At 35.7% G+C, this 25,853-nt stretch overlaps 1 protein-coding gene across 7 annotated transcripts in view; it reads right to left on the reverse strand.

Moving 5' to 3' along the window:
* Positions 423 to 25,853, reverse strand: part of CA1 (carbonic anhydrase 1) — a 50,506-nt gene continuing 25,075 nt past the window's right edge. The window contains exons 2-9 of one of the 7 annotated variants that reach the window (NM_001128830.4): positions 15,564 to 15,640; positions 14,414 to 14,474; positions 11,067 to 11,264; positions 9,760 to 9,878; positions 6,340 to 6,435; positions 5,305 to 5,367; positions 2,504 to 2,659; positions 423 to 1,491 (exon numbers count right to left, since the gene is read on the reverse strand). In NM_001128830.4, the coding sequence (NP_001122302.1) occupies positions 1,375 to 1,491; positions 2,504 to 2,659; positions 5,305 to 5,367; positions 6,340 to 6,435; positions 9,760 to 9,878; positions 11,067 to 11,264; positions 14,414 to 14,450 (786 nt within the window). In that variant the 5' untranslated portion in view covers positions 14,451 to 14,474; positions 15,564 to 15,640 and the 3' untranslated portion in view covers positions 423 to 1,374. Of the gene's footprint in view, positions 1,492 to 2,503; positions 2,660 to 5,304; positions 5,368 to 6,339; positions 6,436 to 9,759; positions 9,879 to 11,066; positions 11,265 to 14,413; positions 14,530 to 15,563; positions 15,641 to 22,625; positions 22,701 to 24,545; positions 24,600 to 25,853 lie in introns of those variants that run through there. The other 6 variants (NM_001128829.4, NM_001738.5, NM_001128831.4 and 3 more) reach the window with 6 other exon arrangements.

The raw sequence follows: 25,853 nt of genomic DNA on the forward strand, positions 1-25,853 counted from the left end.
AAGATTAAACACTGGACACAGGATTTGTAGAATTCTGGATGTAGATATGGCTTCGGCAAAATAGGAGGAATAAGTTCTAGTGTTTTACAGCATAATAGGGTGACTATAATGAACAATAATTTATTGTATATTTTTAAATAGCTAGAGGAAAGGATTTTGAATATTCTCAGCACAAAAAAATGATAAATGTTTAAGGTAATGGATATGCTAATTACCCTGATTTGATCATTACACATTGTATACATGAATCAAAATATCACACTGCTAGCCTGGGCAACATAGAGAGACCATGTCTCTACAAAAAAAAATTTAAAAATTAGGCTGGCATGGTGACAGGCATCTATAGTCCCAGTTACTCAAGAGGCTGAGGTGGGAGGATCCCTTGAGCCAAGGGGTTTGAGGCTGCAGTGAGCTATGATCACACCATCGCACTCCACCCTGACTGGCAGAGTGAGACCTTGTCTCAAAAAACAAACAAACAAACAGAAAACACCACACTATACTCCATAAACATGTACAATTATTGTGTGTCAATTAAAGATAAAAATAGCATAAGGTGAAGCGCACATCTGACTAAAAGATTGCATGATGTTTCTATATGATTCTAAGCAAGAATGACTTCTTTAGCATTTTTATAAACCATTCACTTGTGACTTTTCTTCCAATTTTAAAGTAAAGATTCTCCATGCAAACTAACTAGTTGTAATAATGGCAGAGAAGCATTGTCCTTGCTAACGTGGGGAGAAGAAGTGAAAGCAATATCCAGAAGCGTCATCTTCCTATATAAAAGATAATCATTTTGATCACAGACAACACAAATGGTAGCAATGTTGGGCCAGCATAACGATATTAAATCCAGTGGTCATCTCAGCTATATTTTTGTCTTCAGGAGTAAGCAAATGAATTTCCCAATATTTCATCTCCAGCTGCTCTTAGGTTGTTGTATTTGAAGCAAAATACTCTTGCAAGTAAAGTATTTAAGATTTTTGAATGTAAATGGAGTAGAAACTTAATGGTTTTAGAAACTGAATGCACAACAGAAAGAAAGAGATAAAATTATTTTATTGGTTCAAATAAACTGAAAAAAATAGACATACAAATCACTTAGTTGTAATTTTAAAGAATTCCTCAAACTAAACTTGAATTTAAGCATAAGCTTATGCTTACAGATTACTATTTGCTAGCTTACTAATTATTATTTGAATTAAGCAGTAAGAACTAAAATTTAAGTTTCTTAGTTTTACAGATTGATTTGAAGGCATGCTGTCTTGCTAATATTGAAATAAATTTATTTCTTAAAAATTATTATTTTACTGGATTATGTCAGAAGCAGGGCTGTGTTCTTGAGGAAGGACAAGTTTCTTCTCAGAATCATCAAAATGAAGCTCTCACTGTTCTGCCCTTCAGAGGTTGGGTTGGGCGGTTGTTGTGCTGCATGGGGACAGCGTTATCACCTTCAACATTTGATAGAAGGCTGCGGAATTGTGCCAGCTAGAAGGATAAAATATTTTAAAAATAAAAAGTTTTTAAAGTTACATAAAGCGTTTTATTTACAGGATTACTAACGCACTGATATTTAGAAAACTGAGTTAGAAATTGCAGTAATATCACTAATAGGAAGAGAGAAAGCCCCAAATCCTTTACATTCATTTCTTTGAACCAGGCATTTTGCTTTAATTATTGATTTAATTATTTAATTAAATCAATTAAATAAAGCAAATTTAATTATTTGCTTTATTTTATTGATTTAATTATTGATGACTGGGTTAAAGTATCAACTTTTTAATTTCAGCTGGGGTACGTTGGGCGAGCGACTTATTAGCTTGGTACCTTAGTTTCCATAAGTACTTACTTCACTGTGTTGTTGTGAAGATTAAATGGGTTAATACATGCAAAGCCCTTAGAATGATACTTGACACATAGCATGTGCTCAATAAATGTCAGTTAGCAACAGGCTACAATGCTTGTCCTGTAGGTTTGTTATGAGAATTGGCTAATAAAACATATGTAAGGCACGTAATAAACATGGTAGAGCAATGAATGATACTTACTATAATCACCATTATTAACAACAGTTAATGAGATATTTTGTTGAATATTTAAAAGTTTAAGCTCCACAAAAGGAACAAAAATATTTTGCCAACTATCAAGGTATGCCAGCTGGGAGCCACAATTCCCCAAAGTCTTATTGAAATGTCCAGTCACAGTTTTTCCTTTATTTCTGAAATGCTTAAGAAGATATTTAACAAGGTTGGACTTTTCCTTATTAAGGAGGAAAGAGTGGCGGGAGTCATTTTTTTTCTGCATAAAGGCAAAATAAAGTATTATAATGCATTTTTGGATAGTTTAATAAACCTATGTCCCCAAATTAATATTTTTAAGTTGGGAGGAAAAATGAACTTCTCACAAAGCTGACTGAAATAATAATCTCTCTCACTGATACTATCAATTAAAGTAATATTCCTGCTACGCATTCCCAGTTCCCATTCATTCACAACTCTACCTGCTCTGAGCTGACACTGATGCTCTCCTTACAGATGATCCAAGTTACACTCTCATAAAGAGGAGGATGAGTCAGAGAGCCAGGGTAGGTCCAGAAATCCAGGGATGAAGGAAGGAGAGTAGAGGGGTCAAAATTTGTGAATGGGGCTCGTTTGCCCTGGAAGAAAAGAATACATCATTACAGCATGATATAAAATACTTATATGAATATATGTGACATATATATGCTATATTATCTTGTTATACATTATTTAGAGATTTTAGCTAAGAGTCATTGATTTTTCTACTATTTAGTATTTCATGACTGGCGTGTTTGTGGATATAAACAATAATATCAACAGAAGAAAAAAAGATGAAAAATGTGTTATATGTAAGTTTTTGACCAAGACGTCTTCCTTCTTCATTTGGTTGCAGATAAGCAAAGATTCAAAAATCTTTTTTACAATCTATATCTTTAAAACATATTTAATTTCTAGTATAAAGCTTTTATTTTTTTCTCTAGGAATGATGCCAGATTCTATTTCAATGGCAAAAATCTTTATTGACATGCATATTGGTTGTTTCAGTTTTATTCTATTTATTCCTATCGTCTTTTCTGATTGTTACTGGTGTGTAGGAAATATACTGATATTTGTATGCTAATCTTTTATGCATTCTGTATTTTAGATGATTCTTCTGGAGTTTTCAGGTGGATGTTAGTGATGATATCAACTGCACATAATGATAGTTTTGTTTTTGCTCTTTCGATATCTATCATAATATGTACTCTTTCATTATTTTGTTGCACTGACTAGGACCCTTATTATAATTTTCAATTGTGATGGTCACAGTGGCACTTTTGTCTTGTCCCTGACTGAAATGTAAATGCTTCAAGTGTTTCACTATGAAGTTAAATGTTGATACAAGTTTCTAGGTAAATTCTTTATCAAATTCAATAAGTTTTCAGACAGTTTTCTTTCATTTTGTTTCATCCTAAAGAAAGGGCATTAACTTTTATCAAATGATTTTAAGCATTTAACAAGTTGATCATGAGGTTTTCTTCACCTTTAACTAGTTAATATAATGAATTAATTTAAGATTTTCTAATATTGAGTCATTCTTGTATTTTTGGGATAAACTCTACTAGTTCAGAAACTACTCTTTTAAAACACTGTTGAATTTGATTTGTTATAATAAATTTTAGGATTTCCTTTAGCTATATTCCTAAGAAAGTTTATCCTATGTTTTTTGTTTTGTTTGTCTGTTTTGTAGTTTTCATACCTGGTTTTGGTATCAGATTCCATTAAATTGATGGGAAGTTTTCTGTCTGTTCCTTCATCTGGGCACTTTAGTTAACACTGGCATGATTGTTTCTTAAAAGTTGAGTAACCCTTTTCCATGAAGTGGTCTGGGCCTAGTCTTTTTGTTTAATAGATACATTTTGACTATTGTTTAAATTTACTTTTAGGTTCTCAGTCTATTTAGGTATTCTAACTCCTTTTGAGTCAATTCCCTTATTTCACATTTTCTTGGAAAATTATCCATTTTATCTAAATTTTCAAATTTACTGGCATAATGTTATAAAAAATTTTGTCTCTTAAAATTTTCTTCTATATCTTTAGTCACAACCTATTTATTTCTAATAATGTTTTATATGTACGGCTTTTTTTCTCTTTATCCAGCTTCCCCAAAGTCTGACTTTTTTGTTGTTCTTCCAAAGAATCAACTTTTCAATTTATTGATAAAATTTTACCCCTTACTTAGCCATCATTTTTCTTTTCAAAATTTATTTATTTATTTATTTATTTAAGATGGAGTCTCACTCTTTTACCCAGGCTGGAGTGCAGTGGCACAATCTCGGCTCACTGCAACCTCCACCTCCTGGGTTCAAGCGATTCTCCTGGCTCAATCTCCTGATTAGCTAGGACTACATGTGTGCGCCACCACGCCCAGCTAATTTTTTGTATTTTTAGTAGAGATGGGATTTCACTATGTTGGCCAGGCTGGTCTTGAACTCCTGACCTCAAGCAATCTACCCGCCTCGGCCTCCCAAAGTGCAGTGATTACAGGCATGAGCCACCACACCCGGCCATCATTTTTCTTTCTTATTTTATTCTTTTCTGCTTTTATCTTCACTAATTATTTCCTTATATTTTCTTTTCATATTTTTTTGATAACTCTTGAGTTGAGGGCTTATTTTTTATCTCTGTCATTTATACTTTATAAGACAATCATTTAAGTTTAATCTTTTCTAGAATCAGCATAAATCAGATTCATTTTACACAAATATATGACAGTTCTCCATGCTGCAAAACATGACAAATCTCTGATTTATGGTTTAACTGCTTACCTTTAAAACAATAAAGCTAAGTTTGTATATATCAAAAAATCCATTTTTTTTGAGTTGACAAGAGTTATGGTTATCAAAGATTGTATATCAACCATATCTCAAAAGAATGCCCTTTACTTCTGAATTTTTCTACTGCTAAAAAACTAGAGATATCTTTATTTATCAAATGGAAAATCACAATTTTGTTAGATATAGTTTTTCAAGCAAATTTAAATGGCTATGTAATCTGGTTTTCTACAGGCCATATTCTGCTGAAATAAATAAACCATAACTATGAAAAACAGAAAACCAAAACAATTCCCTGCATTAGAGACTTTCTCAGAGGTAGGCAGTATTGAAGTAGCACCTTGATTTTCAGTTGGTAGCTTTTACTATGGCCTTCCTACTCCCCAGTTTTAATACTTCATTAAATGATTTCCATAGATCTGTAAATTCTTGTTCTCTGATTTAAACTACTTATTTAGTGTGTTTACCTTGGTTTTAATTGCTTGGAGGGCATCAAGTACTTTCTGCAGCTTTGGGTTGGCCTCACCAACCTGGAGATTTAAGAAAATAAAGTATGAGATAAAGATTATTATCAATCGAACACTGCTTAGCTAAATTTTGAATTTTTTTTCAATTAACAACTGACAAGAGGTAAGGTATTTTCTCTCTGCTTTAGAAGGGGAGATTTTTCAAGCTGTATGTCTTTGAGGGCCTTTGTACTCTATAAATTGTTTATAATATGTACCTACAGATAAAAGTAGCAAACAAAAAGTTTGATTTAAACTTAATTATTGGCAATATGTTCAAAGTTATACAGGGCAAAATCTAGTAATTTATCAAAACTGACACAAAAACAAATCTCTTATTTTGGTCTGTTATATTAGTTTTCATTACTACAGTATTTGGCATATTGTAAGTGCTCAGTAAAGGTTAAGTAGAAGTGCTATAATTTCAAGAGTTACTTGGTTACCCGGGCATACCCAATTTAATAATAACTTTTTCATAGAACTTTTCAGGGATTCTTCTATAGAGGATTTGAGCAACATCTCCCATTTAAAAAATCAATTGAATATTCTTTGTAAGAAAAAATTCTCTTACTATTTCTTTCCTAATGAGATATTAAATTGATAAATTTCTGAATCTATGATTTCAGGTTTCCTTATTAATATTTAATAATATTTCTTTCCTGATGAGACATTAAATTAATAAATTTCAGAATCTATGATGTAGGAAATTTAGAGGAAAGGGAATTTGGAAGAGCTGGAAAATAGAAATTCCTTTTTCCCTGTGAACACATTTCTATCTCACCTCCACCTGAAACTCATTTCTCTCTTTAAGAGGGAAAAGCAGAGATAAAACCAAGCAATAAAATACTAGGGAACTATTTGTTCACCTGTAGTCATCGGTTAAATGGAAACTTTAAAATAAGAAATTCTAAAATATATGTTGCCTTATTTCCTTCTATTTTGAGGTCTAATTGGTAAGACAGTGGAAGCAGAGCTGTGTAATTATCTGTAACTCACCTTCATCAAAACACCAATAACTGCCAAACCATCAGCCTTTGAGGCAGCTTCAGCAAGGCTGGAGTACTTTGCAGAATTCCAGTGAGCTACGTGAAGCTAAAAATGATACTATGGTTAATTAATTATTTATACCAGTGTGATGAAAAAAGATAAGTTATAAGTTAACTTGTTACCATATGATGATGTATCTTGGCTTAGATACATAAAACTTATGTGAACCTTTATCCAGTGGATTAGAAGAGTTACATTCTCACTCGTAGGAAGGGTTATCTGTGTGCCAGGTAGAGATTACAAAACCTGGAACCAGTAAGCAAAATGTCCTTTCCTACGATATTGTTATTTAATATTACTCCTTTAAATGTATCTCTCTTTGTTTTGAAAAGATCAGGAAATATGACTAACTAGTTTTTGGGAAAATAATTGAAGTAATTTTCTCTCACATGAGGTACTTTATAGTAAATTTATGAGAAAGGGTTCCTGGAGTTCCTGGGAGTCTTGGCCAAGAACAGATTCTTTCAGGCACGTTCGTGCCCTTTCCAAACATCTCTCAAATAAATATCTCCAGCTTAACGTCTCTGCAAACTCTAGATTTGTACATCCAAGTATGTATATATGTATTCTTGATATATTCTTGATATCTCTACATGGATGTCTAATAGATGTTTCAGACTTAATCTGGCCAAAATAGAACTCTAGATTTCCTTCTTGCCAAACCTGCTTAATTTTACCTTCTTAGGATAAGGTTTTTAAATGCTCAATCAATAAGTACAACAACTATCATTCATTTCTTGCTTTCCCCACCTATCAACATTCACATCTTACAGGTTATACTTCGTCACATGTTCACAACTTTGAGCCTTTGCATTAGCTTCTAATTTTCTCTGGAATTTCCTTCCCCATGATCTTCAAATGGCAGACTTTTGTCTTGAATTAGGGTTGAACTCAAATGCCACTCCTTAAATAATTCTTTCCTGATCATCCAATATAAAGTAACCACCACAAATCAAAACAGTTCTATCCATATCACTTATTTAATCTCTCTTCTTCCTATTCTCCTCCCTCCCTTCCTCCCTCCCTCCCTTCCTTCCTCCCTCCCTTCCTTCCTTCCTCCCTCCCTTCTTTCCTGCCTTCCTTCCTCTGAAATTTTTATTTTCCCTATCAAATGCAAGTTCTGATAGCAAGTACTTTTTAAAAACAGTATCTCACGCCTGTAATTCCAGCACTTTGGGAGGCCGAGGCGGGCGGATCACGAGGTCAGGAGTTCGAGATCAGCCTGACCAACGTGGTAAAACTCCATCTCTACTAAAAATACAAAATTAGCCGGGTGTGGTGGCACATGCCTGTAATCCCAGCTACTCAGGAGGCCGGGGCAGGAGAATCACTTGAACCTGAGAGGAGGAGGTTGCAGTAAGCCGAGATCGTGCCTCTGGACTCCAGCCTGGGCAACAGAGCAAGACTCTTTCTCAAAAATAAATAAATAAATAACGACAAAAAATAAAGACAGTATCTGGCATATTGTAGGTGTCCAGTGAATATTTGTTGAATGAAAAAAGAATGATTAAGACAGTATATTAAGAGGGATCACTTATTGCAATTTCCTCTGACCATGCCAGTGTAGATTCTGTCCCTACTTGTAATTAATTATTCTTACATCTGTATTCCTATGCTTCTTTGTGAATAGTCATACTGCCATTTGCTACTATATTTATTTAATCACAATAATTTATGCCTATACTTCCCTGCTTGAAAAATGTTTGCTTGTGTCTCTACGGAAATGTTAAGTAACATTATTCAGCACATGCAACATGAAAGGTGCTGGTCTAAGTGTGCTCTGTATGGGTTAACTCTTTTCATGCTGTCAACAATTATTAAGATAGATACTAATGCTATATTATCTAGATTCTCTATATAGGAATACTGGAGCGTAGAGTGATTTGTTTGAATTTGTACAGCTAGTAAGTGGTCGAGCTTTGATTCAAACCCTGGCAGTCAGCTGGGTACTTGCATTCTTAAGCAACAGGCTGCATTGCCTCTCAAACCTATTGTCTTATAGGTATCTCAAGAAGGTTTATTGAACTGAATTTAATCATATGCTAAACTTTGTGGCTAAGTGTCTCTCAATATCTAGCATGGATTATATTGATTTTTCTCAATTTAGATGAGAGAGTCACTAATTTAGTTTTCTTGGATACTACCAACTATCCTTCCAAAAAGATAATACTAATTTAGGCTCTTAGTCCATTTAATTTTAATCTACCTTCAATTTTATGGAGGGGAAAACCCAATTAACAGATTTCTGCAGCATTGAAAGGTGTTAGTCATGCTTTACAACACAAGGTAAAGCAAGTTTTATTTGTATACAATCTGCTGATGTTCTATCAGAATAGAAGATACATATACTTTGTAACGTAGCAGTCTGCCCTGGAAAAATCTATCGTACATAATTACTTTCACTAGTGCACAAGATATATGTACAGATATATTCACTGAAGCATTTTTTAATAAAAGCAAAAGAAACCAATATAACAAAAATCATATGTTGTGATTGTTCATCAATAGAAGGCAGTTAAATAAATTCTGATGCATTCACCCAAATGAAATACTATGCTGACAGTAAAAAAGGTGGAATTCAATCTTCTGATTTTTAAAAATTGTCATGATAAGTGGGTAAATAGAAAAAAAGCAGGTTGCAAAATTATATATATTATAGAATTCATTTGATGAAAGTAAAATTAAAAAGTCAACCTGCATATATGGGTACACATGTATTATATAATTCATACACCTAAAATAAAGAGCAAAATTTCTCACATTTTAATCTCCCAGACCCTCTGCTGAGAGTTTGGTGTACATGTCTCCATTTTTCTTTGGATATACAGATAATAATGTCCTGAAATAAGTCACAAACTTCCATGTGAGAGCAGGTTAAGAGCCAGGGAAGGTTAGACCCTCATCTAGGTGTATGCTGTTCTGTGACCATTGCTGTGGTTAAATTCGAGCTCTTAGTAGAGTCTCATTGAATTGTCCTGGCTTGGCCACAACGATACTGCTGGTGTATCCAAACTTGAACGTTTAAATAAAGAGGAAATGATGGTGTGTTCCATTTGGGGTTACAGCTTTAAAGGAGGAGCAGTGTCATCCTTTGAAGCTAGCTTTGATATCAAGGTAACAGCTTTTGAGGCATTCTCAGGGAAAGGTGAATCTTGGGCTCAGGAGTTTAGCTGCCTCTTTCCACATGAAAATTTTCTCTCTCTTGCCAAACATTATGTGTCTGTGCTTGATTTTAATGGAAACTGGGAGTTCCTTACTGGAATACCCATTCCTTTGGAGTCATTATGATGTTGTCTTAGAAAAGAAGGGAGAAGCTGCTTCTGGGAGTACTCTCAGGGTAATTATCTCTCACTTACTAAATTACATTACCTCGGCAGAATATTTGACTCCATCCACTGTATGTTCTGAACCATGCTCATTTGTACTGCCCCAGTGAAAATGGAACTGAAAGAGCCTGTAGCTGTCAGAGAAAGGACCACCTTTCAGCACTGGAAGAAAAGGGAACCGATTGTTAGCCTGATGCTCCACAAACTCTAGCTTATCTTTGCATTTAATATAAACCAACACTAAATTGTATTGAGTAGAAGTGAAAACAAACATTAGTGCCTAAACTTTCATCTTGTTTTCCCCCACATCCATGAGGATGACAGTCATATGTATGGTGCACCCCTGACTGTGGCATTGATGAGCTATTCCATGAATTATACACATTTCCCAGCCACACGAGCTACAATTTTACCTATTTCTAACTCCTAGAAAGCATATTGCAATGTGAGTGAATTATATCATTACAGGGCTGTCCTTGAATCTCCTTTAATTTGCAAGTTTATTCCTTCATTCTTTCAACAAAGACAGTATGCATCAAAAATCTTTAGTAGTTTATTTTGAGTAATGAACCATTCATCACCTACTGTGTAACTGATGAAGACACAAAAGTATATCTTGACAGCTTTGTTGAGAATCCCTGGCCAGGGACCAAGAGAGAGTACCAGTGGGGCAGTGGGGCACTTATAAAACTTTGTTTGGAGAGCCTATCCAATGATAATATTAGTTAAATGCATATAATACCAGACCTAATCTAATATTAATAATGGACATAGTCCCAAGGTGCCTAAAATTTAGGCCTCAGAAACTCATAAACAAATTTAGCATTTTAAATCAGTAGAACTGTTTTATGGAATTGTCATTTAATAAAATATTCAATAAACCTTCATGAAAAGCTAACTCTGTAGCAAAATTTGTTCTAGATTCTGGAGTATAAGGATAATTCAGTCACTGCTTTGTTTTTCTTTTCTACTGTGCTCATTCATACTCATCCCAATTAGAAAATATTTTTCTTTTTAGTTGTTATATTTGTAATGACTGGTTCACTAGACCTTTCTGGATAAATGCTGTTTATTCAGAGACAGTGAAGTGAGCATACAGATACTGGAATGACGAGAAGAGACGTGATGGTGACTTTGAGAAGCAAGACTGAAAATAGAGAGCTGGGAGTTCCAAAAATTGTCTTTACCACCTGGGCGTTTTCCAGAAGTCCAAGATGCCTCACTAGATTACAGCAATGCTGCACACAAGCACAAAAGACTTAGAATGGGTGTCATATTTCTCGAGCACTATTTTTTAAATTTTCCCAGTAGACTGTAAGAAAAAAATATCAGAAGGGTCTTTCAGCTCACCTGATCGGTTATCGTTGTCCTCAAAATTTACATGGAAGGAATGCCCCACATTGATAATTTCTTTGGCTGTGGCTGGGTTGTAGGAGACACTAATAGGTTTCAGAGAGGTGTCATGTTTGGTTTCACTGGTTTTAATATCAACAGGGGACTGGTTATTTCCATTGGCAATGGGATACAGCTTGCTCCATTGTTCAGGACCTACCAGGACAAACACGTGTAAAATCAATGTCTTATCAAATGCTTGATTCCAAGTTTTAGGAGTATAGTTACCTGTTTGCTTATTAGATTAGGGTTTATTTCAGTGTATTAAATGATATTCTCTTAAGATTAATAGAAATTCTGTGTTTGAAGATGTCCCTTTTCTTTCTTTCTTTCCTTCTTTTTCTTTCTTTCTTTCTTTCTTTCTTTCTTTCTTTCTTTCTTTCTTTCTTTCCTTCTTTCTCTCTCTCTCTTTCTTTCTCTCTCTTTTTTTTTTTTTTTTTGACAGAGTCTTGCTCTGTCACCCAGGCTGGAGTGCAGTGATGCGCTCTTGGCTCACTGCAACCTCTGCCTCCCAAGCTCAAGCGATTCTCATGCGTGAGCTTCCCAAGTAGCTGGGATTACAGGAGCATGCCACCATGCCTGGCCAATTTTTTTGTATTTTTAGTAGAGATGGGGTTTCATCATGTTGTCCAGGCTTGTCTCGAACTCCTGACTTCAAGTGATCCACCTGCCTTGGTCTCCCAAAGTGCTGGGATTACAAGCATGAGCCACTGCACCCGGCCCCTTTTCTATATTGTACTATAAAATAGTGTATTTGTCAATACTACTAATATAGATCTATACTCATAGTCTATAGAATCAGACCATACATATTTTATTATTAGCAATAGATTTCTAATACAAGCTTAACTCATTTTATTGCGCTTCACTTTATTGTTCTTTGCAGATATTGCATTTTTTACAAACTGAAGATTTGTAGCAACCTTGCATCAAGCAAGCTTATTAGGGGCATATTTTCAACAGCATGTGTTTATTTCACGTCTCTGTGTCACATTTTGGTAATTCTCACAATATTTTAAACTTTTTAATTGTTCATATATCTATCATGGAGATCTTTGATGTTACTATTATAATAGTGTTGTGGCACCATAAACCATGTCCAAGTAAGATGATGAACTTAATCTGTAAATGTTGTGTGTGTTTTAACTACTTTACTGACTGGCTATTCCCCATCTATCTCCCTCTCTGTAAGTCTGCCTATTCCCTGAGACAAGAATATTGAAATTAATCTGTTTAATAACCCTACAATGACCTGTAAGTACTCCAGTGAGAGGAAGAGTCACATGTTTCTCACTTTAAATCAAAAGCTAGAAATGATTAAGCTCAGTGAAGAAGGCATGTCAAGAGTTGAGACAGGCCAAAAACTAGACCTCTTGTGCCAGTTAGTCAAGCCGTGAATGCAAAAGAAAAGTTCTTGGAGAAAATTAAAGGTGCTACACCAGTGCACACACAAATGATAAGAAAGCAAAGCAGCATTATTGCTGATATGGAGAAAGTTTGCATAGTCTGGATAGAAGATCAAAAACCAACAACCACATTCCCTTAAGCCGAATCCTAATGAGAGCAAGGCTATAGCTCTTTTTAATTCTGTGAAGCCTGAGAAAGGCAAAGAAGCTGCAGAAGAAAAGTTAGAAGCTAGTCGAGGTTGGTTTATGAGATTTAAAGAAAGATGCCATCTCCATAACATGAAAGTGTGAGGTGATGTGGCAAGTGCTGATACAGAAGCCGCAGACAGTTATACAGAAGATCTAGCTAAGATAACCAATGAAGGTGACTACACTAAACAACAGATTTTCAGAGCAGACAAAACAGCCTTCTTTTGGAAGGAGATAGCATCTAGGACTTTCATAGCTAGAGAGGAGAAGTCAATGCATGGTTTCAAAGTTTTAAAAACAGCCTGACTCTTTTGTTAGGGTCAAATGCAACTGTTGACTTTAAGTTGAAGCCAACACTCATTTAACATTCTGAAAATCCTAGGACCCTTAAGAATTATACTCAATCTACTCTGCCTGTGCTCTGTAAAAGGAACAACAAAGCCTGAATGACAGCACATCTATTTACAGCCTGGTTTACTGACTATTTTCAAGCCCACTGTTGAGCTCTACTCCTCAGTAAAAGAAGATTCCTTTCAAAATATCACTGCTCATTGACAGTGCACCTGGTCACCCAGGAGCTCTGATGGAGATGTACAAGGAGATTGATGTTATGCTTATGCCTGCTAACACAGCATCTATTCTGCAGTCTATGGATCAAGGAGTAATTTCAACTTTCAAATCTTATTTAAGAATACACTTTGTAAGGCTGTAGTTCCCATAGATAATAATTTTTTTTATGATGGATCTGAGTAAAGGAAATGGAAGTTGTCTGGAAAGGATTCACCATTCTGCATGAACATTTGTAATTCATGGGAGAAGGTCAAGTTATCAACATTAACAGGAGTTTGAAAGAAGTTAATTCCAAAGTCATGGATAACTTTGAGCCTTCCCAACCTTCAGCAACCACTATCCTGATCAGTCAGCAGTCATCCACACTGAGGCAAGACCCTCCACCATCAAAAAGATTAATACTTGGCTGGGCGTGGTGGCTCATGCCTGTAATCCCAGCACGTTGGGAGGCCAAGGAGGGCAGATCATGAGGTTGGGAGATCAAGACCATCCTGGCTAACACGGTGGAACCCCATCTCTACTAAAAATACAAAAAAATTAGCTAGGCGTGGTGGTGGGCACCTGTAGTCCCAGCTACTCGGGAGGCTGAGGCAGGAGAATCACTTGAACCTGGGAGGCAGAGATTGCAGTGAGCCTAGATCATGCCATTGCACTCTAGCTGGGCGACAGAGAGGACTCTGTGTCAAAGAAAAAAAAATTAATACTTCTGAAGGCTCAGGTGATCACTAGCATACTTTAGCAATAAAGTATTTTTAATTAAGGTATGTAGATTTTTTAAACATGCTATTGCACACTTAATAGACAACAGCATAGTGTAAACATAACTTGTAAATGCCATGGAAAACTCCAAATTTTATGTGACTTGCTTTCTTGTGATATTTGCTTAATGATAGGGGTCTGAAACTGAACCTTCAGTATCTCTGAGGTATGCCTGTATATATATATATCAAACATATTTTGTAGTCAGCCATGCCCCAAAAGACAATGCTAAGAATACATGCAAAGATAGTATAATTATTTAAAGCAGACAGTTCAACAATTAACCTATAGCTGTACAATTATTTTAAATACTTAATATCTTTTCTGTTGGAAATGGGAACAAGTTATCATTTTGATCTATATAAACAGGAGAACTCTTACCATTTTTGTCATCATATCCCCAGTCTGGACTTGCCATTATCTTCTACTGAGTTTTCTTTTTCTGAAAACAAAAATAATACCTGGAATAACTAACTGCAACTGTGCATGCAGGAGATGCCTTAAATCCCTGCTTGGGCGTTTTTATAGAAACTTACTTGCTTTTAATAGGCCATTATTTCATCATCTCTGCTTATCAGGAAGTACACATATCTAAAAAAAAGGTGTTGTAAAAAATTCTACAAGGGCTATGTTAGTTTCAATTGCTTAATTTTCTTATATTGTAAAAGAGAATTATCAGATCCTAGATTTTATAAAGCCAAGTCCTGTTTCACTCATGTTAGTAGAAGATATGGCTTAATATTATAATATGTAATTCTTTAGATTTTCTAAATGAAAAATACTTTGTACACTCAAGATTTCCAACTCTACCTTTGTTAGTTACCTAAGCAATATATGCAAAAGTAATTTATCAGGAAAATAATTTGTGTGTTTACAGGCTGATCTGAACTAGTATCTTAATGTTAATTTAAAATCAGATAATTAAATTACTAATCATTTGTAATATATGTTATTTATAATGATACATTTTATAGATATACAGGGTAAGAATAAAGTCCATTTTGGAGCAATATTGGAATTCATAAATGGAGAAGATTTTATTAATATTAAAGTTAAATATAACACAATATTTATTTTATACATCAAATAGGTCTACAAGAATAAAGGTCTTATTTTTTAATAGCTCTATATAATTTATAAACCAGTTTCTTATTATTTTATTTCACCATCACACATACATACAAATGCTATATAGTAAGAATTAGCATTTGTAATTGAGAGATGTTGAGGTACTTTGCCACAACTGGCAACAAGCCAAGAAGCCAAGACTTCAGCCTCCTAATCCAGTTCCCTTCTTCACTGTACCTCCACCAAATGCCACACTAATTCCCCTCCTATGCTCACAATACTCTTAAGTGCAAGTTAAGCCTGGACCAAGATGAGAACTGATGCCAACTGAATGATGAGAAGGTACACAGGACTTTTCAGGATGGCAAAGAAAACTGATTAGGATGTGCCAGACTCTGGCCAGTTCTACATGTTCAAAGCTCTAAACATGCTCAAAGAAAAGAAAACCGGAAAAATAAGCTACCATAGTGATGCTTTTTTCATGCCATGACAGTCATTCCTCCTTTCACATGGTAAGGATTGTCTGAGCTGCTGCAACCCCTGAAAGAAGAGAGGGATCAGGAGCAATTTTCACTAAGGCTGACTGGAGACACGTTGTTTGCTCCTTTGCAGTTAGTGATGGTTCGTTGTCTCATATGCAGAGTGGGCTGTGGTCATGAACATTCACAGAGTGGGAAGAGGCCCAAGCTCCCATTCTATGGCTTTAGTAAGCATAAGAAGATATTGCTTAAAAGAGAATTCTTTTTTTTTTTCCAAAGTACTGTTTATTGAAGGCCCAACAGGGATCAACTGCTGTGCTAAAAACTTTACGTACATTAACTTATTTAATTCTTATTATAACAAAATTGGGCATTAAAATCTGTGTTTTAGGCTGAGGTGGGAGGATCTCTTGCACCTAGGAGGTCCAGACCAGCTTGGGCCACATAGTGATACTCTGTTTCTGGAAAAAGAAAAAAATTGTGTTTTACATTAAAAAAATATTGAGGCTTACAGAGGTGAAGACACCTCCTCAGAGTTACAAAACTTGCAAGTGGCTGCTTATATCCCATAAGCCTAGGGTTTAAACCTAGATCTGTGTAATTCCAAAGCTAATACATTTGCTTAGCCTTCCACTGTCAACAATTGTCCACTGACCTCCAGTTGATTCTATTTTCTGGAGGATTGGATTAGGTGATGTAGCTTGGTTTGGCTCAAGATGACCAAGAGTCAGGCTTCATCCTTGGGCTTACTTCACTCCGGAAGCTCATGGAGTGACAGGAGCAGGCTACCCCCTGCCAGGTAATTTGCCTCCTAATATTGTATACTTTGTAAAAAGCAACTTTAGCTTGAACTACTCTATTAATCAACAAATTTGAAAAACAGCAACCCCCTTTCATTACACGACTATGTGATGATTTGTCACATGAATGCTTTAACATCCATATGGAATGGCAATTTATTTAAAGTTTTAGGCACAGAATGACACTGGACCCTAACTATTATCACCTTTTATTTCATTATGTACCCAGGGTGTGTTATTGTACTGGCAGAAAATTATATAGAGAAAGGATATAAAGTTTAATGAGCCTTTATAAGTCCAAACACCCTTCCCATTTACCTTTATCCTTCTTTTTCTGCTTACAAATTTTGCTTCTCTCAGCTGAATCTATGCCAAATTCAAGATGTTTAGTTTTGTATTCACTTCACTTTCACCAACAGTTTCCTCCCAGTATACTTTTCCAGGATGATCTTTGGGTTACTTTTGCCTACCAAGAAGGAGTTTAATCTACACAGACTCTGCTCTTCTAAACTAAAAGTATATATATATATATATACTTTTAAATTTTATATATATAAAATTTAAATTTATATATATAATTATATATTATATACTGTATATTATATACTGTATATAATATATAATTATATATTATACAGTATATAATATAATTATATTATATACAGTATATAATATATAATTATATATTATATACAGTATATAATATATAATTATATATTATATACAGTATATAATATAATTATATATTATACAGTATATAATATATAATTTGAATTTATACATATATTATGTATATTAGATTATTACATTTATTTATTAACACCAATTAATTTCTAAATTAAATGGTACTAAATTTAGGGTACTAAATATTTTTTAGTACCCTAAAATGTTTTTCAAAAAAGCATTTCTTCAGTGTTTTTAAGTATCTATTTAAATCAGTTTTAAATTATATTTAAGAGCCTTAGTATTTCTTATTTTAACTTTTGTTCTTCTAGTTCCTTTGATACTTTTCATCTAATTTTTATTTTAATATTTTAAAATCAAAAACATGAACTCTTCTGGAAGCAAATAAATTATGGTGAGTTTCAAATTTAAATTTGTACTTAGAAAATAACTCTCTGCTATAAAAGGAACAAAAAGTGAAAAAGAGTGCCATCCGTGCCTAGTTATGGACGAGATCTGCTAAATGCCACTGAAAGGAAAAATCCACACCTTGGCAGGACCAAATTCCAAAAAGCCAGAGCTGCTCTACAATGCTTAGAGTTCCACAACAATAAGTGGCTTTCCTGGGATTCATATTTTCCCTAAAATGAGGAAATATATATTGTGAAAATAATGTCATTGTTGACTATTAAATTTGGCCTGACTCTCACATTGCCTCCTAAATTCCCTGCCCCTCTAGAGATGGTATCATTTGGGGTGGCAAGATAAATCTTATTTCCAGTGGAGAAGTGGGTCATGGAAAATGGTGATATTAGCCTGGACATTTCTGCATTGAGACAACTAGAAATTCTGATTAATCAACTGAAGTGGCAGGATGGGTTATCTGGATTTCACAGCTATCATTTTCTCTCAGTTGGGCTTTCTCATCACCTGTAACAAAGCTGTGTTGGTAACTTTATTCCTTCCAATGTTTGTATTTGTCTCCATCCATACCGAGCTTGTTCCCATTTTAGGACCTTTGTGCTTGCTGTCCTGCTGTCCAGATTGCTCTGTACCCAGACCTTTGTATAGCCTCAAATATCTCCTGCTTAGAAATGACTTTCCTGAACTCCAAATTCACATGTCCTCCTTTTCCCAGTCACTCCATTATATCATTCTGTCTTATTTCTTTCATAGCATTTGTCACATCTTGCTTGTATTGTGAAATTAATTTACTTGCTTAATGTCTATAACCATCTCTAAAATGGCATCTCTATGATATGATAAAACCTTGATCATTTTTTTCACCACCATGTTCTCTTCATCTATAATATGCCTGGAAAACAGTGGTGCTCAATAGACACTTATAGAGAGAATAATTAAATGGTCATTTTAAATTTAAACTATTGTATATTTTTAAAGATGTAGAAGAGCAGAATGTTATCAGGGACTATGCTTACCCAAGTGCACTGATCTGAACTCAGGTTGTGTGGTACATTGATATTTGGGCATGTGAATGAGCTTTGCTATACTCATGTTTGTTTTTGGATTAAGGAAAAAGCCTTTCCCCTCTCAGTTCTATTAATGGGAGGAATGAAGTGACCCGTCTGTGTCTGTCAGTCATTACTGGGAGAATGAGAACACTGATCTTTGTAAGTGTCAAATTTTTGACACTTTGTAAGTGTCAAAATCTAACTCTTCAAATATAGTTTGAACTTTTGACATATAAATTTCAAAAATCCATCACTTTTATGGCTTTTATTGCTGTAACTAAAGAAAAGTTTCAACCTTTTATTTCCTGTCTTGGAACATTTTATTTTTAACACAGTTGTTAAATCTGCTAATGGGTGTTTTTTATTAACAACCAAGTCAACTCTTTATATGTAATCATTTTAATACACAGCATAAAGACATTCGCAGTGTCTTACAATTTCAGGCTTTTGAAAATATTAAATTTTAAGTATATCTCATTGACTGTCATGCTAATTGAAATTACTGGCTAGAAAGACACACTGATATTCAGAGAATATCTAGTGAACTTTTATGCTAATAATTAGGAATCTCTTCTACTGCATGAATGGATAACTTGGGCAAGTTAATAGTACTATCCCCGTATTTATTTTTAAAATTGAGAACATACTATTTGTATCTTATCTTCTATAACTGTTTGGGAAATTAATGAGTCTTATAGAACAGATAATGACACTATTAAGTAACATTTTTCACCTAAAAAGAAAATAACATGCATTAATGATTTATAAAGCATAAAATTCTGCTAGGCATGGTGGCTCATGCCTGTAATCCCAGCACCTTGGGAAGCTGAGACCGGTGGATCACCTGAGTTCAGGAATTTGAGACCAGCCTGGCCAACATCATGAAACCCCGTCTCTACTAAAATAGAAAAAATTAGCCAGGCGTGATGGTAGGCACCTGTAATCCTAGCTACTCGGGAGGCTGAGGCAGGAGAATCGCTTGAACCCGGGAGCCAGAGGTTGCAGTGAGCTGAGACTGCACTGCTGCACGCCAGCCTGGGCAACAAGAGTGAAACTCCGTCTCAAAATAAATAAATAAATAATAAAATTCTGCACAAATATAAATGATCAACATAAGCCTCAAAAAAAAAAGAGTTTGATTTTAACTCTCAGGCAAATAGATGATGATATAAAACAAAACAGTGAAAATATTGCATGTGGCCTGAAATTCAAACACTTGCTTCATAGATACATGTTTGCTGTAGATTAAACTAAATCCTATATGTAAATATGAAAAGAGATAAGTTCTCAAGTGTAAATATTAAGGGAGGTGAAGGTCAGTTCTATTAATTACCTTGTAGTAACATCCTTCATTCATCTGTTTGGGGGTTCTAGCTACCTAAAATCATTTTAAGGTTAAAAAAACATGTCTTCTTACTCCTGAAATCAGCTTTTTTAGCTCTTAAATCCTTTTATCAAAGATTAGATTTCTAAAATACATTTGTAATGACATGTCTTTTCTTAATCCAGTGGTTCCCAATGTATGGTTTGTAAATCACCTGCTTCAGTGTCACCTGAAGTGATATTAAAATACAATGTGTGTGTCTCAACCAATCCTTTATTTTTGTGAATGGTCTTGGCCAGTTTAGATGATCAACAAATAAGCTCTTTTAGTAAGTATTGGTAGCTTTGTTAGAGGTATCTGGGAGTTAGATGACTCCACCCTCACAATCTAATTACCAAGAGGTGTATTTCAGTGAAAGCAAGTCTTCAACAATCAAATTTCCCAAGTGTACATGTGTTATAAACAAACAGCCAGAAAATAGTCATATGCCTTGCCTGTAATTTCAGGTGGGCTGGCCGCAAGTGAGGCTCACCAACCAGCACCTTGCATGAAAAGTTCACTCCAAACAGACATCAATGACATCAAGACCTCTTTTGGGTCAGGCAGCTGAGTTCAGTGGGGCTTAGACCTCACATACTCCATCAATGACATTTGAGTGCTGGGCTTCTCCACTCCTATGTCTTGTTCATACAAGACATTTTCTGGGTCCAGAAAATTTTTCCTTCTCAGTTACTACTCTTGATACCACTAATTGTACAAAATTCTTTCTGACATCTTTTATAGTAAATAACAAAACTTTAGGTGTTGATTTCACTACAAATAGCTAAGTAGCCACCTCTGAAGAGGGCGGGTCCTGATTAGGACACTATCAAGCATTCCTATTAGGCATTGGATTATATGAACAAAAGTTATTTATACTGAAGTGATGTATAATTATAACACTACTGAATCAAAATCTCTGCATGCAAGACCTGGGAATCTATGTTTTTAACAAACATTTCCAGGTAATATATTAAAAACATATTTGTAGACTTTTACAAACATTTTTAAAAATCCTAAATGCTATTTTCTTGACATGCTTTCTCCTTTAGGAAGAATACTGAATTAATATTCACTTCAACAGCCACTTCAAAAACTACTCACTGTTTTTCTAAATTAGATTTCCCCCATAAGATTTCTTGAATTTTTAATGCTTTTACTAGTACCTAACTCCAGTGAATAAATTTTTTTTCATTCATTTTTTGTGATACCCTTTTAATTATTAAGTCAGTATGCTAAATACAGGGTGGTGACTTGCTCTGCAGTAGTTTTTAAATCAAATGCTCAAGTCAGAGCCATGATTAAGTAAAGACAGGTACAATAACTAAATGCCTTCTAGTACTGGCAATACCAGTTGTTGCCTGCAGGAGATTGTCATTTTAATTTACTCTGATCTTTGTCTTAGTAGATCTATCAAAGAAAAGTGGCAAGAGCACTATTTGAATTAATGATTTGCAGAACGACTCATTACTCAAGGGCAGGTTTCACAGAAAAAGTACATTATAGAGGTCCTCTTTACTGATCTTAAAAGAGTAAACAAAGACATGTAACGAGGATGAAGTAGTATCTACAACGTTCCTTTAGTCTCTAGACTGTCTTTTGTTTCACAGTTATTTTTAAGAATTAGCATTAACAGTAAAATTTTTTAAATCTGTCTAACCCAATTTCTTTGAGTAATGCTGTTTCTTTATGATAAAACTGGGTTAATAAGTATAAAATACCTAAAAATATTTTCTAAATGAGGATTAACGATTAATACACATAGCAGATGCACAGTAAAAGATGGCTTTTATTTTTTACTGAGTGTGCTACTACTAATAGAAAACTTTGTGGGCTATGGTTGAAACTTTAATGCAGCCAGGTGTTAAGGAGGACACAAGGCTATGTCTGAGCTTCTAAGGATTTGATGATGTACATTAGCTGATCAGCCTTGAAATCAAGGGACATAATCTGACCCCCTCACCCCGGGGTTTTTCTAATAAATGGGGAAGGAATAAATGGAATGATTACAAGTGCTTTCTGATTTTTAAAAAATCTTTTTATTTTTAGCCTCTACACTAAGGACACAACAGGTGCTTTTAAAGAAAGAAATAGAAATAGTTTCTTTTAGAATAGCCCAATAGAATGAGACCATTTTACTCCTGTACTTTTTTTACTCACATGATCTTAATTTGTAACTTTTAAGAAGTTCGGAGGCTGAGAAAAACAAATATCAGTATTTCCATTTCAAAAGGAAGAAAGAGGCTTTCACAGATGAGAAAATTAAGCCACTTGTCCAAAGTCAGATGAAAGTGTTAAAAGTGGAATGTCAAGTCTTTAAACTCTGGGTCAAGAATTCTTCCCACTATGATAAATTATAAAATCAAACTAACAGTAACTTTTTTTCATTACTTTTTACTTTATTATCACAAAAGAGTTTAGTCGTGTGGGAAACTATTACCTCACAACAGTCATTGTAGTTTCCCTAAAACAGACCCTATAACTTTGGCTTGATTTTGTCCATGGGTGCTGGAGATGGGGTATGGACCACCATTATCTTTGGAGAGAATGCATGCTGCATGCTGTGGTTTTTGCATCTCCACAGCTAGCCTGCCCAGCTCATGAAGCTATCACATGCATCCCTACTGAGGCTCTTTCAGGGCCTACCATTTCCACATTTCTGTGGAGAGACCAAGCTACTTGTGATTTATGCTTCCTGATTCCAGTGTAGCTGGTGAATGCATATTCTACATTTCCACAAAAATCTACCTTATTTCTTCCAGTCCTAGGTGTAAAGGATCAGCCTACAGGATGGAACAAAATAGGTCCTCCTCCCTTCTATTTCTAGAATAGGGAGGAGAAAAAAGCAAAATTATTTATTAGGGTCTTCACAGCAAAATTTTAGAAAAGAATCCTGTCCTCTTACCTGAAGGCAAAATAGCAAGGTTTGAATGGAAATCCTTCCTGATCCTGTTTCCTTTATGCAAAAGGTTACTTGGGCAATTAATTTAGCTGGTCAAGGCCATGTCTTATTCTGAATTTCCTGTTTTACTTTCTAAAAAATTTTTTTTCAAGTTGCTCCAGGCAAATGAGAGTTACCTAAACATATACAATAAGCAGATTTCTAAGATGGGTTTAGCTCTAAGTAAGTGAAGAATTTTCAGGCCTCTTAAAGATGTTTGATATCACGTAACTCTTCTGTCCTCAGTGACTCCCACAGAAGGAGTGCAGGGCAGCTTCTCCTGTGGTTTCTTAGGGCTCTTTTAGCTTCTGGAATCAGAAAATTCTGGAGAGGCTGCTTAGGCAACAGTTTTCAAGTGTGACTTGAAAGGCGCTGCATTTCAAAACCCCAGGGTTATGAGTGAAGAGGTGTTGAATGAAAGGCTCTTAATTGCATCGCCTTGCACCTAGTTTATCTGGCCCTGTGATGGAGTTCCTTAATATGCAACACTTGGACATTGTAATAGTCCTAATTCCTTTAAGACTGTCCCGGACTCTGCCTTTAACTAGTTGGTAAAGTTCCACATAGCCTTTGTGCAACTGCCTGAGGGTTGCAAAATGAGGGGATGACATGTTGGCAAGTGCCTCAGTTTTCCATCATCACCCAGGAGGCAGCCAGAACTAGTCTGGTGAGAAAGAACTCCAGGAAAAACACCTCCCCAGGTTCGAGTCAATAACGCTTTTAAAATGGAGATCCACAGAGTCCAAAGGAGTTCTTATGGGCCTTATAGGCTAAGAACCAAGCTCAGTTAGAATGAAGCTTATGAATGTGGACTTCTTAGAACAAATAGGGCTGATTTTATGCAGTGATTCGATCTGGGGAAGATGAATTCTTGGCAATGTTCTCAATTCCTCCTATTGGTAATTCCTAGGGGTGCTTGCTAGCCAGGGTTCACGTTCGATGTTCTTACAATGCGATCTTTTGTCACTCCTGTCTCAGGCTCCAAGAGTCCTCATACAGTCCCCTGCAGAGTTGGACAGGATTTTACTGCGTGGTTGCTTGCAGCTGGCAACAGCTGTTGCTACACTTTTTTATCCACATTTATTTTTGTGTGTTAAGATTGTGTTTCTAGTCCTCCCCCAACTTCTGATACTACACACTTGCCAAATTGTTTGCTGATGAACATGATATTATTAGTAAAGGCCAGTGACTTCTTCCAAGGGAGCATTGACTGTTTATGTAGTGGCTTTATGTAGCCACTTCTGGGTATGGCACTCACTGTGCCATTTATTTTGGTTAATGTTTTTAAAAGACTCATTTTAACTTTAAAATCAGAGGTGGCGAATGAAACTTTGCTTAAGGATTCATGTCCCTAAAATGTAATGTTGGAGTAGTAAGGAAAAAAGGAATCATCTTTTAGCGGCAGCTAGGTATAATGAAGTTTGCAGAAAAGAAAAATAGGGTGTATTTCATTAGATCTAATATTGACAGCACTGCTCTAGCATGATGGACATGCCTTCTGTATGAGATGAGTATGACATCCACTCAAAAAACAGCCCAGTGGGGAAAGAAATGCCAGCAATAATAGATGTGACCTTTTAGTGCCTTGGCCATTGGCATCGCCTGAGGGTAATCCTAGATCACCCATTTTTCCATTTGGATGTAGCTGAGACTGACAGGGCAGGTGTCCGGCCTAAAGCAACTGATTTACTGATTTACGAGCAGCTTTCAGTCTCCTTCCTACTTGCCTCTTGCAAAGTGAACTTGAAAATCCAGTTCTTTTCACTACCTCTGTGGAAAACCTAGAGGCAAGCACAGGATTTATTCTTTGTTACTTGTAAGGCTGCTGTTGAAGTAATGCAAAGGTCGATGATTAAATGACATACCATAAAGATTTTTAGTACTGTTATTAAACCCAGTAGGATTAAAATGCAGCTACTGATGAAAGACTTGAACTGCAGTGTCTAGATGAAGCTAATTCCAACACAACTTAATCCCTTCATCATAATATGAACAAGGAACAAAACAAACGGTACCATGGCAGTTGGGCACTGTCTCAGGCACCACAACTTCTGGTTGTTGAAATTAGCTATGGGTTGATTTTGTAACTCATAGTTGCATATTACCATTAATGTCACCAACCTGTCTCCTGAAACACCAGGTCTGCATCCAAATCATTCAACCTAACCTCAAGGGGTGGATGGAGAAAGTATGTTTTGAACTCAATGATCCATGGCTTCTTAGGGTGTAAAATTTGGGCTAGACAGCACTGAGTGTGGGAGGGGAGAGAATCACATTTGGCCCCGCTACATGTTACAAGTGGCACTTGCAGAATCCTGGCTCCCTCTCTCTACTTCCTCAGCAGGAAAAGTGCTTAAAACCATTTGAGGGGGCATACCTTAGTAACATCCTGAATAGACATGTGTGAACCTGTCTTTTCTGGAAGCTAGATTTAGGTTAGCTTGAATGTCCAACCAATACCGGTATGCCTGCTTTCCATTCTGTCCTGTGCCATCTGGAGCAACTCAGCTCTCTGGACCTTAGCCCCAGTTTTCCAATCTAGACTGTGACCTTGCCTTTGACCTGTGGTTGGTCTTATTTCACAGCCACTGACTGCTGCCTATGTCAGGATGCATGCCCCTGCTCTGCCCAGCCCCTTCCTGCCAGCTCAGCCCTCAGCTCCATTTTTTTTTTTTTTTTTTGAGACATAGTCTCACTCTGTTGCCCAGGCTGGAGTGCAGTGGTGTGATCTCAGCTCACTGCAACCTCTGCCTCCCAGATTCAAGTGATTCTCGTGCCTCAGCCTGCAAGTAGCTGGGACTACAGACATGTGCCACCATGCTTGGCTAATTTTTGTATTTTTAATAGAGATGGGGTTTTGCCAAGTTGGACAGACTGGTCACAAACTCAGCCTAGCTTCTAATCCAGGACCTCTTACACCATCCTATTCCATGATCTGATGCTGACCACTAGTTGAGTTCAGGCTCAAGTGACTGCTTAGACCAGAGGCTGAGAGTTTAGGCCTGGGAAGAATATTGCTGAAGGACCCAAGTCCC

The sequence above is a fragment of the Homo sapiens genome, chromosome 8 (assembly GCF_000001405.40).
Source record: "Homo sapiens chromosome 8, GRCh38.p14 Primary Assembly".
Taxonomy (NCBI): Eukaryota; Metazoa; Chordata; class Mammalia; order Primates; family Hominidae; genus Homo; species Homo sapiens.